General features: G+C 40.5%; 1 protein-coding gene across 8 annotated transcripts in view, besides 1 other annotated feature; it reads right to left on the reverse strand.

Annotated features, from left to right (window-relative positions):
* Positions 1 to 14,098, reverse strand: part of HGD (homogentisate 1,2-dioxygenase) — a 54,068-nt gene extending 39,970 nt beyond the window's left edge. For 7 of the 8 annotated variants that reach the window (XM_005247412.3, NM_000187.4, XM_047448059.1 and 4 more), the window contains exons 1-4: positions 13,956 to 14,098; positions 7,651 to 7,722; positions 6,760 to 6,848; positions 2,286 to 2,391 (exon numbers count right to left, since the gene is read on the reverse strand). In XM_005247412.3, the coding sequence (XP_005247469.1) occupies positions 2,286 to 2,391; positions 6,760 to 6,848; positions 7,651 to 7,722; positions 13,956 to 13,970 (282 nt within the window). In that variant the 5' untranslated portion in view covers positions 13,971 to 14,098. Of the gene's footprint in view, positions 1 to 2,285; positions 2,392 to 6,759; positions 6,849 to 7,650; positions 7,723 to 9,762; positions 9,854 to 13,955 lie in introns of those variants that run through there. The other variant, XM_017006277.3, reaches the window with a different exon arrangement.
* Positions 8,866 to 9,816: an enhancer, noted in NCBI's record as "OCT4-NANOG-H3K27ac hESC enhancer chr3:120395854-120396804 (GRCh37/hg19 assembly coordinates)". NCBI's record gives its function as "activates a minimal SCP1, AML or CMV promoter by ChIP-STARR-seq in naive H9 embryonic stem cells {active_cell/tissue: H9 hESC(naive)}" and the evidence as "EXISTENCE:reporter gene assay evidence [ECO:0000049][PMID:30033119]".

Genomic DNA, 14,670 nt, shown 5'->3' on the forward strand with positions numbered 1-14,670 from the left:
CTGCTTTATGCATTAAACTTCATACGAGTTTAAGGGTCAATTATTTAGACAAAATATCTTAGTTTCAAAGTGGCTATGAGGTAGATAGTATTTTAAATACCAATTCACATTTTTCCACCCTAAATGCCTCCCTCCCTTCCTGTCCCTGGTAGAGAGGGGTGGTAACATTCAAGCAGATGCTTATTTCGCTGAGATTTCCATAATTAAGACAAGAGAGAGAACTGGGCAGGAAACCAAAGGTGTCTATAAATTATTTTGACTTTTGTCTTATAAAAAGTCTAAGCACTTAGGGGAGGGAGATTGGCAGGTATAGACAAAATGTCATGGTAAACAAAGGGGAAGCAGGAGATTTCCTTGGGTTGTGGAAAGTGGCGGGGTGGGGAGAGAGGGAGGAGAGAGAGAGTAGGAGGGAGGGAAAGAGGGCAGAAGAAGCCTTCAGAGTAAAAAATAATATAAAATGAAGAAATAAAGTTACCTGAATAATGTAAATTCAGGTAAATATAAATAGCTGTATCAGAATCATGGTTCTTGCCTATCACATGCCAGGCATTGTATGAAGCAGGTTCACACCTATTCTCTCATAATCTTCACAATAGCACTGTGAGGCAAATGTTATCATCCCATTTTACAATTGAAACATCATAGCTTAAGACACAGCTAGTAAGTAGATGGGCAGGGATGCAAACCCAGGTCTGTTTTTCTTCCTGCCCTACATACCTATTATCAGCAACATGTACCTAAACTCAGGGACAAAGGCAATACACTGGGGTTCTCAGAAGGTTAAAAAAAGAGCTCAGTCGTTTATAGCACTGGGTCTATCTCATTGCTATAGTACTGGTTCTGTCTCATTTTATCTTATATACTCTGCAAGCAGAGTACGTAAGTAATAACGATAATTAGAGAAAACGCCCACTATTACTAGACCAAAAGGAGGAAACTCCTAGAAAAAGAATGGAAGTCCTAGGTCTGAAGAGACTGTGATAGTGATCTGTGACCACAATAGACTTGCATAATTCAGCCCAGATAGCAAGACTCTCACCCCTATGCCAGATTTCAAAGGCCTCTCTTCAAAGATGTCTGTATTGAATGTATTTTCTATATTTTGTGGTAAGTTTAGATTAAAAACAAAAAAAAAACCATGAGCATGTAGATATTTTGACCAACCTATAAAATATAAAATATTTTGACCAACCTATAAAATTTCCGCTCATCCAATTCACCTGAGCAGTTCTAGTAAGTCCGAACTACTCCTGTGTCCATCTATATGCCATTAGGCTAGAAAAATACAAGCTTATGTGCGCATGTGCACACACACACACACACACACACACACACACACACACACGCAGACTGTTAATCAAGTTTGTCCTAAAGTTGCCTCCTTACATATTTTAAGTTCTGCCTAAAGGTTTCTCCATACATAGTGAACCATAACCTAATTGGATGTGTAACCTACTCTTGTGCCAATCATGGTGACACACTATTAAAACTGTGTTCAAGTAAGTCATATGCCGAGCTGCAACCAATCTGGCTATTTCTGTACCTCATTTCTGTTTTCTGTACATCACTTTCCTTTTTCTGTCCATAAATCGTCTTCTACTAGTGTCTGCACTGGAATCTCTCAGAACCTATCCTGGCTCAGGTAGAATAATTTGTGAATTGTCCTTTGCCCAATTAAACTCTGTTAAATTAGATTTGTCAAAGGTTTTTCTTTTAACAATATGTATATACATAATCAATCCATCATTTCCAAAATTCCCACCTCATATCATTTGTCTGTGTCTCACCCAAATCTCATCTTGAATTATAGTTCCCATAATCCTCACGTTTTGTGGGAGGGACATTCATGGTGGGAGGTAATTGAATCATGGGGATGGTTACCCTCATGATAGTGAGTTCTCACAAGATATGATAGTTTTATAAGGGGATTTTCCCCCTTTCACTTAACACTTCTCTCTCCTGCCGCCATATGAAGAAGGATGTGTTTGCTTCCCTTTCCGCCATGATTGTAAGTTTCTTGAGGCCTCCTCAGCCATGCAGAACTGTGAGTCAATTAAAAATATGTCCTTTATAAATTACCCAGTCTTGGTTATTTTTTCATAGCAGCATGAGAATGGACTAATACACCACCCAAGTTTGAGCAGAAAACAGACACACTTTAGCATTTATTAAAATAATACTTTAAAAAACTATCTATTTTTTCCAATGACCATGGTATTCTATTTAGGTATTTCTAGTCAAGGCTTTGGGTATATGATAAGCTTCAATTCACAGGACCAGGTTACCTGGTTAGGATCAGGATCAACTTCATCCCAGTTGTGAGTGACTTGGCCTTCGTCAATGGATTCAAAGGGCTTGTGAGAAACTGAAGGTAGAATCCTATACAGCCAGCTAGAGGGAAAAACATACAAGATATACAAGCCTTAGAGTAATGTTCTGAGTGATACACAGAATGGCTCAGGCAGTACCATCAGGAAGACACTCAAGTCAACAACGACCTGTAGGCTCTAATGTGTGAAGCAGTGAAGCAATGATACAGCATCACTTTTCATGGCCATCTGCTGCCCACAGCCCTGGCCTCTTCTCACTTTTTCATTCCACCCATCATGCTTCAAATGGACTCTGACTCATGGTTATTTCCATGCTGCCAAAAAATGAAGAATTGTCTTTTCTAAAAACTATAAGGGAAGGGGAAGTACCTTGAGGGATATCTGTGTAGGAAAATCCATAGAAAAACATTAGCTTATGTGTGTATCATAGGATGCTAGTCCTTGCTCTGGAAGGCAAGAACAATGAGTTCTACGCAGCTTGAGAGAATATGGGTGGTATCTTTGTTATTTTTGAAATAGTAAATCAATTTTCTCCTTTAAAATTACAAAAGTAATACATGCCAAAGGTAAAAATAATTCAAGTAATTAAAAAGTCCTGAAAGGTAAATGGCACCTTCGTCCTCCAGTTTCTTCAGGGCTATTCCTCAGAGGCATCAGAGCTTAGTGATTTTCTTATATATTTCTTATATATTCTTTCAGATACGTCCAGTGCATTTCTAAACAAAATTATCAGATCATTTTAACTCTTTATTATCATACTAACAACGTGTGAGAGTGCCTGGTCACCCACATCTTCACAAATCTGGAGTATTATTAAAAATTTTAGTGTTTTAGGTGAAAAATAGTATCTCATTTTATTTTGTATTTCCTTTATTATGAATTAGAAAATACAAAATATTTCCAAAAAACAAGTCTATTTGTTTATTGGCTCTTTATAGTTTTTCTGTGAATTACTTGTAGAAGTCCTTTATCATTTTCTATTGGGTTTGTCTTTTTGATATTAATTTATAAGAGAAAAAGATTCTGGAAAGGCTGTGGAGAGATAAGAATGCTTTTACACTGTTGGTGGGAATGTAAATTAGTTCAACCATTGTGGAAGGCAGTGTGGTGATTCCTCAAAGACCTACAATGAGAAATACCATTTGACCCAGCAATCCCATTACTGGGTGTATACCCAAAGGAATATAAATCAATCTGTTATGAAGATACATGCACACGTATGTTTATTGCAGCACTATTCACAATGCAAAGACATAGAATCAACCCAAATGCCCATCAATGATAGACTGGATAAAGAAAATGTGGTACATATACACCATGGAATACTATGCAGCCATAAAAAGGAATGAGATCATGACCTTTGCAGGGACATGGATGGAACTGGAAGCCAATATTCTCAGCGAACTAAAGCAGGAACAGAAAACCAAACACTGCATGTTCTCACTCATAAGTGGGAGCTGAACAATGAGAACACATGGACACAGTGAGGGGAATAACACACACTGGGGCCTGTTGGGGGGTGGGAGTTGGGGGAGGGAGAGCATTAAAAAAATGGCTAATGTATGCTGGGCTTAATACTTAGGTGATAGGTTGATAAGTGCAGCAAACCACCATGGCACACATTTACCTATGTAACAAACCTGTGCATCCTGCACCTATACCCTGGAACTTAAAATAAAATAAAAATAAATTAACACTTCTGTACTCTAAAATTATAAGAGTGTATGTCCATGTTTTATTGTAGTACATTTATGCCTTTATTTGTCTTTCTTTCTTTTCTTTTTAAAGTGTGTCCTCTCTACCAGGACCAGATCTCAGGCTTCAGGAAGGGAAGAAGACTCTGATAAAGGAATCTGAAAGGACACCAGGATAAGACCTTCCAGAAGCTGGAAGGGACATTGAAGCTCACTAAGAGGGACCCAAGTCCTTTCAGAGGGTACTGCCCTGACAAAATACAGAAGGACAACGGAAGACCAGACCTGAATCAACAGGCTCTGGCCCTTTCAAGACCAAGGACAGTCTACCTCAGTGAGTTGAGTTGGCCTGGCCCAACATTGAGCCATCTGGGGGAAAAAGGGCTAGATCTGTTTAGTTTCCATTTGATTTCTCCATCTCTTGATGACGTGACCTCAGACCTTGGTCTTACTAAGCCTCTCCAGCTCCCAGTATATGAAGTTCAGAGCATGTGTGTATGTCTTGGAACCACCTGTGTGATCCTGGGAGAGTTACTAGACTTCCTGAACCTTATGTTCTTCATCCTTGTCACCTAAGATTGTTGTGAGAACTCAGAGAGTTTGTGTACCAAAAATGCCTGGCATACAGTAGCTGCTGGCTTATCATGTGTTTGTTAAATTGCCTTTCTTCTCTTAATCTTCTGAATTTTTATCACAGTCCACATTTTCCAAATTATCTCTCCAGACTTTTGCCTTTTCAAGACCCAAGGGATCAATCAGCTAGCTAATCTGATAAAAATTAATCCCTGATAGGTAGGTAGGTAGGTACGTAGGTAGGTAGATAGACTCTTTAATAGTTTTGTGGTGGCCCTGTATGCTATGGTTCAGATGAGTAGTAACTAAGAATTTCAGGCTGGCCTACTTATGGATAAGACTGGTCCCATTTTCCCACTGGAGATTTTGGGTGGGAAGCATTTCCACAAAATTCTTGTGGATATCTTTGGAGAGTTCTTCTAAATAGATGGGTGAGCCATACCTAGTGTCCCTTATTTTTTAGCTGAGTTTATAAAACTCCCCAGGCAGTACTACATTGCCCTGAACAGAGATTTAATTCTGATTCAGGGAACAGTGCCAGCTTCTTAATGAAATGCCAACAGCTCCTTTTCAGCCTGCTGGAACAAAGCTCAGCTCCTGCTGGCTGAAGATATTGCTGAATAATGGGGACAGGCTGCAGAATCCGGAGACCAGGTGGCCTGTTAGGGAATGGGCCATAAAGTCAAGAACATAGTCATAGAGGACAGGTTGTCATAAATTAGAATGGACAGAATTATCTGCGTGCTTATCTTACCCTATTTGGGCTTACAGAGAGAGAGAGAGAGATGATTAAATAGTGAAGGAATTATCCCCTGATTTTTGACATGTATAGAAATCTTTCTCTATCTCTTCCTCTTCCCACGCATATATCTATTGAGAGAAAAGTACTGTTGATACTGACATTGTAACATAGCACTTGCCACATATCATGCCCAGTTCTCTTGACAGCCTCCTAGAGATACCCTGGAAATGAGGCAGAAACTCTGCTATGATGGCAATACTTAATGATAGTTATCATGACAATAACTAGCATTAACTGAGCACTAACCATGTGCCTGTGCCAATGTGCTAAGCTAAGCTAATGTGCTTTACACACATCCTTTCTTTTAATCCTCACCACAGCTATGAAATAGGTACCATAATTATCTTTGTTTTACGAATGAAGAACTAGAGGATCCAAGAGGGCAGATGATTTACCCAAGGCCACACAGCTGGAAAAGGAGCCAGGATTTATACTTAGGGGGCCTGCCTCCAGGGTGGCCATGATTAAACCTTGCAATCTTTATCATTTGTGTGGTCCATTATAGTTTTTTACTTACTATCTCATTTGCTTCTCAGAAGGACCTGTGGAGATAAACCCAGGCTGCCCTACTAAGCAGTACAAGACCACATGCCCTTCTCCCCGAGTCTCTAATACCAGCAGCATTCCTCTTCACAAATACCTCAGCCTAAAATTTTTATAATTAGACACTATTTGTTTAAATCATAACACTTACTGCCTCCCAAAACTATAACACATACTGCATCCAACCTGCCTGATATGAGTTAATCAAGGGATTACGTTCATTGACCTGGATGTAGGATTAGAGCAAACATGGAACATGGCACAGTATGTAAATGAATATGCTGGTTTCTAGCAAAGGCGAATACCAGAGTAAAAACCTTATTAATTCAAACCACAGTGGGCCATAATATGTGACTTTTTAACTATCCAAACTTCGTTTACCCAACATTTTCTTGCAAAGAACATACCTCTAGTCAGCTGAGAAAGATATTGCTCTGAATCTTCCATAATTGTGACTTAGTCATTATAAAACAAAACAAAACAGGTAAACCCCAAGCCAAAACTCAACAGGACAGTCTTTAGAAGAAGACCAAACTATTAGGAATATTTCCTTCTGAATATAGGAGGTAATTTGTAAATGGAACTGGACATGTGTATTTTCCCAGCTCTGTGCAGCTTTCCTTCACCTTCTTCCACCAGTCACTTGGTGCTAGCTGGCAGGAAGTTCATTCTCTTCTGACCATGACCCAGACCATAGCCTATAAGAAGCAGGATCTTGGGCAGCTCTGGGAGGCTGTGGCCCAGGGGAAGGAGGCAGCACAAAGTCCCTGTCATAGTACCCACAGTCTGCAGGTCAGAATTCATCTAATCCTTGTACCTTCTCTTATTGGTGCTCCGTGGACAAGTGAAAGCCGATCCTGAGAGCTGCTCAGCATAGAGATTGTAGGGGCAGACCTGAGGATTATTCTGAAACAAAGGATGCAATAAACAATATTACTCCCATCCGAAAAGCATCCCACCTTCCCACCAACCAACTCAGTAGGGGGATGGGGATGCTCTGGGCGACTGCACATGACCATCTGCAACCCGATATGTTTCTTGTAACAACTTTTGATGTGACTTGCCCCCCGATTATAAAAGTAATATATATTTATTGTAGAAAATGTATAAACTATATGATAACACCCATTATCTCACAACCAGAAATAACCAAGCGTTCACATGTTGGTATTTTTCCTTGCATTCTTATCCTCCAAAATTGTGACCCTATCATACCTGTAACCCTGTAATAATCAGGCATTTTTTCCTTTTTTTTTTTAAGAAATGAGGATTTTTTTATGCTATGATACGGCCTGCAAAAAGTTTTGAAAATATTTTTGTTTCCCGTGTTGTTGCTTTTCTAACCAGCACTAGTATGAACATCTTTGTGCATACATGTGAAAGCACCTTGTTATTTTATCATAATGCTCACATCCATGGTGTTCAAGGGGAATATGAGGGATTCTCTTTAACTCTGGATTTTTGGGGATCCTACTGGAAACCCTACAGTTAATTTCACTAGTTTGGATTGGCTGCTGTGCCACCAATCCAATTTTAATCTTTGTGTTGTCATTGCTCTGTATCTTCATTGCCCCTATGACTTGGGAAACCTCTAGACAGTTCACAGGCTAGATTGGAAGAGCCACGGTGGGTGGAGGCACTTTGGCCTGAAAGCTAGTCATCCAGGAATAGGATTCAGAGCTCTTCTAAGCACTTTATTTGCTCATACCTGTCCTTCTGGCAGGGAACCTGGGCAGCGAGGATCCTCTGAAGAACACTCATTCCCAAATCCAGAAATGTACTGTAGGTGACAAAGACACAAATGCCACCATTAGCAGGATTTAAAGAGCATTTCAGAAAATTGGCAGTTTACTAAGGTAAGAATTTCTATATGGACCTATGTTTGTGTATGATGTTCCACATATAATATCTTTACTGTGTCTTGACATATGAATCATTTAGGGAAGACAATATGGTTTCTGTGAATTTTAAAGACTTCTAATTAATCAGAAGAGTGCTGGATATTGCATAGACTTCTCCACCCTTAGCTGTACTTAGCTGATTTGTGGGTCTACACTGTAACCTCCCTGAACTTGAGACTCCATTTCCCTTTCAAACTCTGGGAAAAAAAAGAAAAAGCATCTATGAAGAGGTGTGTGGGTCCAACCCTGACAGCAAAACCCTCTCCAAACTAGCCTTGCTGTAGGCAGAAGCCTCTGCTATCTGCCTCATCTATGGAACACATCTATATTTGTGCGAATGCATGAAAATAAAGTTTAAAGATATGGGTGGCCTTCAGGAGACACGCCAGCCCAGCATCTTTTCACAATGACACAATGGAACCTACTCTGATTGCCATCTCTTCACTTTACACCCAGAGGAAAAAAAAAGTTAAAGGGTTTCTCAACCAGGTAAGTCATGGAGAGCCCCTGAAACTTACTCTTGCAACACTCAACACACTTGTGAGTTCTTGTGCACTGTCTGGCTTTTTTGCTAGCCTATAAGCTGCATGAAGGCTGAGACTATGGCAGTCTTGGCTCATAGAAGGTAATCAGTGGAAATTTGTCGATTGATTGAATTTTTCCCTTAAAGCCAATTCTAATGTAAGTGTATGTGTGCTGCTGTAAATAGGGTTAGAACCCTTTTTGCTCTAACTTAAATACCAATTGATTTTAGCCCAGGATAATGAAAATGCAGTCTTGCTCAGCAAGCGAAATGTAACCATCTGAACACAGCTCCTTAAGAGATATAAGAAGGGTGGAAGTGGGTGAAGGGTAGGCCCTCCAGAGTTCTCAGTTGTTGCGGGAAGTCTGGGACTCCAAACGGAGGGATCAGCTGAAGCCATGGCAGAAGTTCGTGGATTGTGAAGATTTCATGGACATTTATTAGTTCCCCAAATTAATACTTTTGTAATTTCTTATGCCTGTCTTTACTGCAATCTCTAAACATAAATTGTAAAGATTTCATGGACACTTATCACTTCCCCAGTCAATATCCTTGTGATTTATGCCTGTCTTTACTTTAATCTCTTAATCCTGTCAGCTGAGGAGGATGTATATTGCCTCAGGACCCTGTAATAATTGCATTAACTGCACAAATTGTACAGCATGTGTGTTTGAGCAACATGAAATGTGGACACCTTGAAAAAAGAACAGGATAACAGCAATTGTTCAGGGAATAAGAGAGATAACCTTAAACTCTGACTGCTGGTGAGCCAGGCAGAACAGAGCCATATTTCTCTTCTTTCAAAAGCAAATGGGAGAAATATCGCTGAATTCTTTTTCTCAGCATGGAACATCCCTGAGAAAGAGAATACGAGCCAGGAGGTATAGGCTTATAAACAGCCCCCCTCCAGGTGCGCCTGTCTCTTATGGTCGAGACTGCAGGGGTGAAATAGACCCCAGTCTCCCACAGCGCTCCCAGGCTTATTAGGAAGAGGAAATTCCCGCCTAATAAATTTTGGTCAGACCAGTTGATCCTAAAAACCCTGTCTCCTGATAAGATGTTATCAATGACAATGGTGCCCGAAACTTCATTAGCAATTTTAATTTCGCCTCGGTCCTGTGGTCCTGTGATCTCACCCTGCCTCCACTTGCCTTGTGATATTCTATTACCTTGTAAAGTACTTGATGTCTGTGACCCACACCTATTTGCACACTGCCTCCCCATTTGAAAATCCCTAATACAAACTTGCTGGTTTTTGTGGCTTGTGGGGCATCACGGAACCTACCGAAATGTGATGCCTCCCCCGGATGCCCGGCTTTAAAATTTCTCTCTTTTGTACTCTGTCCCTTTATTTCTAAAGTTGGCCGACGCTTAGGGAAAATAGAAAAGAACCTACGTGAATATTGGGGCAGGTTCCCTGATACTCAGTGGCGTGGAGATGTAACAAGCCTGGATGTGTGAGTGATGATCAGGCCAACAACAGTCTGTATTTGGAAGAAATATCAGATGTGAATGTTATGACCTAGGAAGCAATGGAAGTGAAAAATTATTCTTTTTGCCTTCAGACTCAATATTTTGTATATTTGAAAATTTGTCAACACAAAAAATACTAAGTTGTATACTGATTTGTTAAAAGCAGCAGCATGCAGTTAGGATGATATCTTTGGGGAAATGGCAGAGACCATCCAACATTCTGATTCTCCACTGCATCCAATTTTCTACTCTCAAAATGAACCCCATGCTCACCATCAACGGGATTGAATTTGAGCTGCTGAGAATTGGTAATAACCCCAAATTATCTTCAATTCTGTGAAATGGAATTTTAGACCAGCCTGTGACTGAAGCCACTGGGCATTACAGTGCCTTCGCTTTGTTCAACTGCCGCATTGTTTCTCTCTGCAAGAGAGGAAGGAAGGCTGGAGTACAGCTGAGCTTTCTGGCAGGCACTGGTGGAGTTACTCATTAACCTTCCCCATTCTTTGTAACTGGTGGCCTTAGAAGAGGGTTCAGGGTTATGTGTTTGGAACACGAGTTAGTATAAATGGTTCTGAAGCACTTGATTCAGACTGTGCTTTAAAAAATAGGAAAGAAAGTAGAAAGAACAGCTGATGGTTTGGAAGGGAGCCACCAAGCACCAAGAGGTGTGAGTTCTGAATCCGTTTCTCAATCTTAGCTGCAGGGCATTGGCTAAAGAGGAAGGTGAAAACTGCTGAGTCACTATCAAATCAATTGGTTTTTCTAATCCCCTGAGAGAAAAAGTACAGAGTTTATTGCAGCTTTAAAATGCCATGCCCCTCACGGCCAAAGGCATCTGAATTAAGGAAGCAGTATTCACAGCTGCTTTCTCCAGACATTGAGCTCAAGGACAGAATCTGAACTCTGCTTTTATCAGCTGCGAAAATCCAAGCATTCATTTCCAGCTGGTTCAGTGCCTATGTAAAAGTATACTGTGTACAAAAATAAGATTAAAAAGCTAACATTAAGCAAGTGTGTTTGTATGTTTTCTACAGTTCGGATTTCTGAATAATTTGATCCGACAGAAAAATATGATTTCATTTCTTTTCGAGAGAATTATATGCATACTTTCTAAATGCAAGAATAAATTCCTGAGCTCCATGTGACTTCAGTACCATCAGCTCTTTGGCAGCTTATGAGTATACAGCTTTTTAATTCTCACCTGGTCCCCAGGATATGGTTTACTTGTCAGAGTAGTTTTATGAGGTGCTTTCTCCTGACTCTGATTCTAGGTAACACCTGATGAGATGAACAGATGGTGCACCTCACTTCCTCTTACTGGGCATGAAGGAAAGAGAGAGAAGTCAGGGTAGAGATGAAACTACTGCTACATTTTTTTTTTCTGTGGAAAAAGAGTCTAATATTTCTAATTAACCTTGATGGGAACATAGAACATAGATTGTAAAGGGAACTTGCACATTATCGCAGTAGGCTGAATAATGGCTAATGGCTCACTCTGAAAGATATGTATGGCTTAACCCCTGAAACCTGTGAGTATTATCTTTTCTAGCCAAACAGACTTTTGCATATATAATTAAGGATCTTGGGATGGGGAGATATCCTAATTATTTGGGTGTATCCTAAATGTAATCACAAGTGTCATTATAAGAGGGAGGCAAAGGGAGATTTGACTTATAAGAGGAGAAAATGTGACGTGATTACAAAAGCAGAGATACATTTTTTTGAAGATCGAGGAAGAGGCTACAAACCAAGGAATGTGGGTAGCCTCTAGAAGAGGAAACAGAATCCATGGAAAAGGCAGGAAAACACAATCTCTCATAGAGTCTCCAGAAGAAACAGCCACACTGACACCTCGACTTTAGCCCAGTGAAACCGATTTCAGACTTCTGACCTCCACAACTTCAAGATAATACATTTGTGTTGTTTTAAGCCAATAAATTTGTGGTAATTTTTTACAGCAGCAAGAGGAAATCAGTTACGTAGAATAGTAGGTCCTGTCTCTGGCTAATCATTAGAATCACTCCAGAAGCTTGTTACATACAGACCCAGAGCCAGTGAATCAAGGATTTGGTGGTGGGGCCCAGAGCCTGAATATTAAGCAAGTTCTTCGTTTTAGAAATGAGGAAACCAAGGTTGGGAGAAGCTAAGCAACTTACTCAAATACATAGGGTATTTCATTTTAAATTTAATTTTATTACTTTATCTTTTGAATTTTCTTACCCCAGTTGTACTTTTGTGTAAATGTGATTTCATTTACGGCTTTGTGTTGACATATTCATTAAAATGAAGAAATAAAAGATGAGAAACAGTTTTAAAAATTATATAATGTTTATTGATTAGAATGAATATGATGCAATCTGGTTTTCTGTGTTCAGATTCCTGACCTCTGGAGTTAACCTTTCTTTGTAAAGATTAGACAGCAGGCAGGGAAGAATGCCTTTGAAACTGAGAGCAAAGACTGGCATGCAATTTACATTGATGTCCTGGTGCTGTGCATAATAAGTTGCTTAAACATGACAGCAGGATAGGATTTTACATAAAATTTATTTATAAATGGTAAAGATGTTTCCAACCTCTGCTGAACTTCCTCATAGAATGTTCATCAGAAAACAAAGTTTCTATCTACTCTTTCTTCCAAGACTTCAACTCCTACCACTGACATCATGACCCTCAGTTCTATTCCCCTAGCCCTGCCCACTCCCCTGAAATCCAGATCCATAAATCCAACCACCGCCTGGGTATCTCAGTTTGGCTGTCCCTCCATCAACTCAAATTTGGCTGACACAGTTTTGGATTCTAGAGCATGCAGGCATTCTGTATGTGCTGTGCCTTTGCACTCACTCTTCCCTCCAGACCCCGTCCTTCCTCACTTTGCCAGTTCCAACTTCTCTCTGAAGACTCAGTTTAGGTACAGGCTCCTTTAGGAAATTTTTTTTTGACTCTACCTAGCCCAGACTCAGTTCATCTACGATATTAATCTGCAGTGTCATGCACTAGCACAAAATATTTGCTGAATGAAAGAATGAGAGTTAACTTTTAGTCAGGCATAAAGATAAAAAACCAAAGTCTTTTACTCCGGTGTGGAGTGTTTTCAGGATTCCTACCAATTAGGAAGGTGTTTGATTCTTCAAACTCAGAAACACCTCCCCTTAACTGATGGATTCTTCAAACTCAGCATCAGTTAGAGGGCATTAGGGCACTTCTCAAACCCTGCATTCAGGGAAGATGTCTGTTGTGGGGTGGTCTGGCCTACTTGGCCTGAGCCAAGGTTCTGGGCAGTTCTGTTCAGTTACACATGCATGCGTTGAGCATTGATTCAAGCCTGGCCTGGGCACTAGGCATGGTTTTAGATATTAGGGACATATTCTGTTTTCCTTGCCTTAAGATACCAGTCTAGTAGGAGCCACTAAGGCCCCTTTTTGAGCCTGGACTTCGCATTCAAACATACCCTGCTTCTAATCAAGTCATCTATTGGCAGTGACCTTGGGCAAATCATAGTCTCTCCAAGCATTACTTTTCTAATTGAAACAAGAACCTCTCTCTATACCCCAGATTTATTTTGAGGATTATGAGTTAATTCATAGCTAAAATGCTTAGCACCTAACAGCACATAACCCACACATACTTTTCAATTGCGTATTACTAAAAAGAAGGAATGATTTCCTAGAGGAGGTGCTTCTTCTGGCCAAGGGCTGATTCAGAGCCTTAATTAACTAAATAGATCAAGCATATCTAACTGGTCACCGGAAGTGGTCCATGAGGCTGCAGCAATGGGAAGGTGTCAGAGCAGGGGTTGGGAAAAAGACATAGAGAGAAACGTGCATGTCCGTAGTGGAGGGGAGCTCTTAGGATGTCTACAGATTTCCAAGACAATAATTGAAATGAACAAAGGCAAGGGATGACCAATAAGAGCTTCATTTCTTTCCTTTATCACCTTTCCCTTGTTCTTCAGCTCCAGCTGTGCCCACAGACACCACAGGGAAGCCTCTGAACACAGGGGTTTGAACCAGGGCCTCTCTAAGTCTTTTCCAACTCTGATACCCTGAAGTTCTCAGAAACTTCCATAAATTTTGGCTGAAGAAGCCATAGCAAACTTGTCAGATGGTTTCTTACCTTTAACTCAGCCATTTTCTCTCTCCTCTATGTGTGGTGACTTCAGGAAACCCAGGCCCAGAGGATATAAAGCCACAATGCTTCTTTCTCCTTCAAACCACTCTTTGGATATTCCGGTTCCCACTGCTTCACTGCGCTTCACTGGTCAGTGCGTCACTCAAACTAGCTGAAAGAATTGTCTAACTCATACACAGGGACAAAGTCCAGCAAGCTTATTTAACCGGTTACACAATTGCCTTTGGTTTTTACAGTTTGTTCCTAAGTGTTTCCAGAGGCTTGGTTCCTCTTCACCTGAGGTAGAGATTGACCAATTATTTATTCCAGTTAAAAGTAGGCTTATTTCAAAAGGCAGAGAATTTGAAGCTATCGGGGAAAGGAACTGTGGCAGATAGTGCCTGCTGTGTGTGGTGGAGGATTCTCTGCTCAGTCCTGACTCAGGCTAGGAAGGAACAGGGCAGTGCTGAGTCTCCTGGAGAGCAGTGAGAAAACCCCCAGGCATTTACCAGCTGCAGATGTGTACACTGGGGTAAGATGTTTACACACAGCCACCTGAAGACAGGGACCAGGACCAGAACCAGTTTTCTGCAGGTGCCTCCCAGGAATGAGCTCAGGTTCTTGGGTGAACCATTCAGAGCCTGAGATATTTCACTTAGAGCAAACTGATATGTTTCCTACTGCTCCTTTTAATTTCTTAAAGTACGTTTAGTTTTCTTAT

Source organism: Homo sapiens, chromosome 3, assembly GCF_000001405.40.
Source record: "Homo sapiens chromosome 3, GRCh38.p14 Primary Assembly".
NCBI lineage: Eukaryota > Metazoa > Chordata > Mammalia > Primates > Hominidae > Homo > Homo sapiens.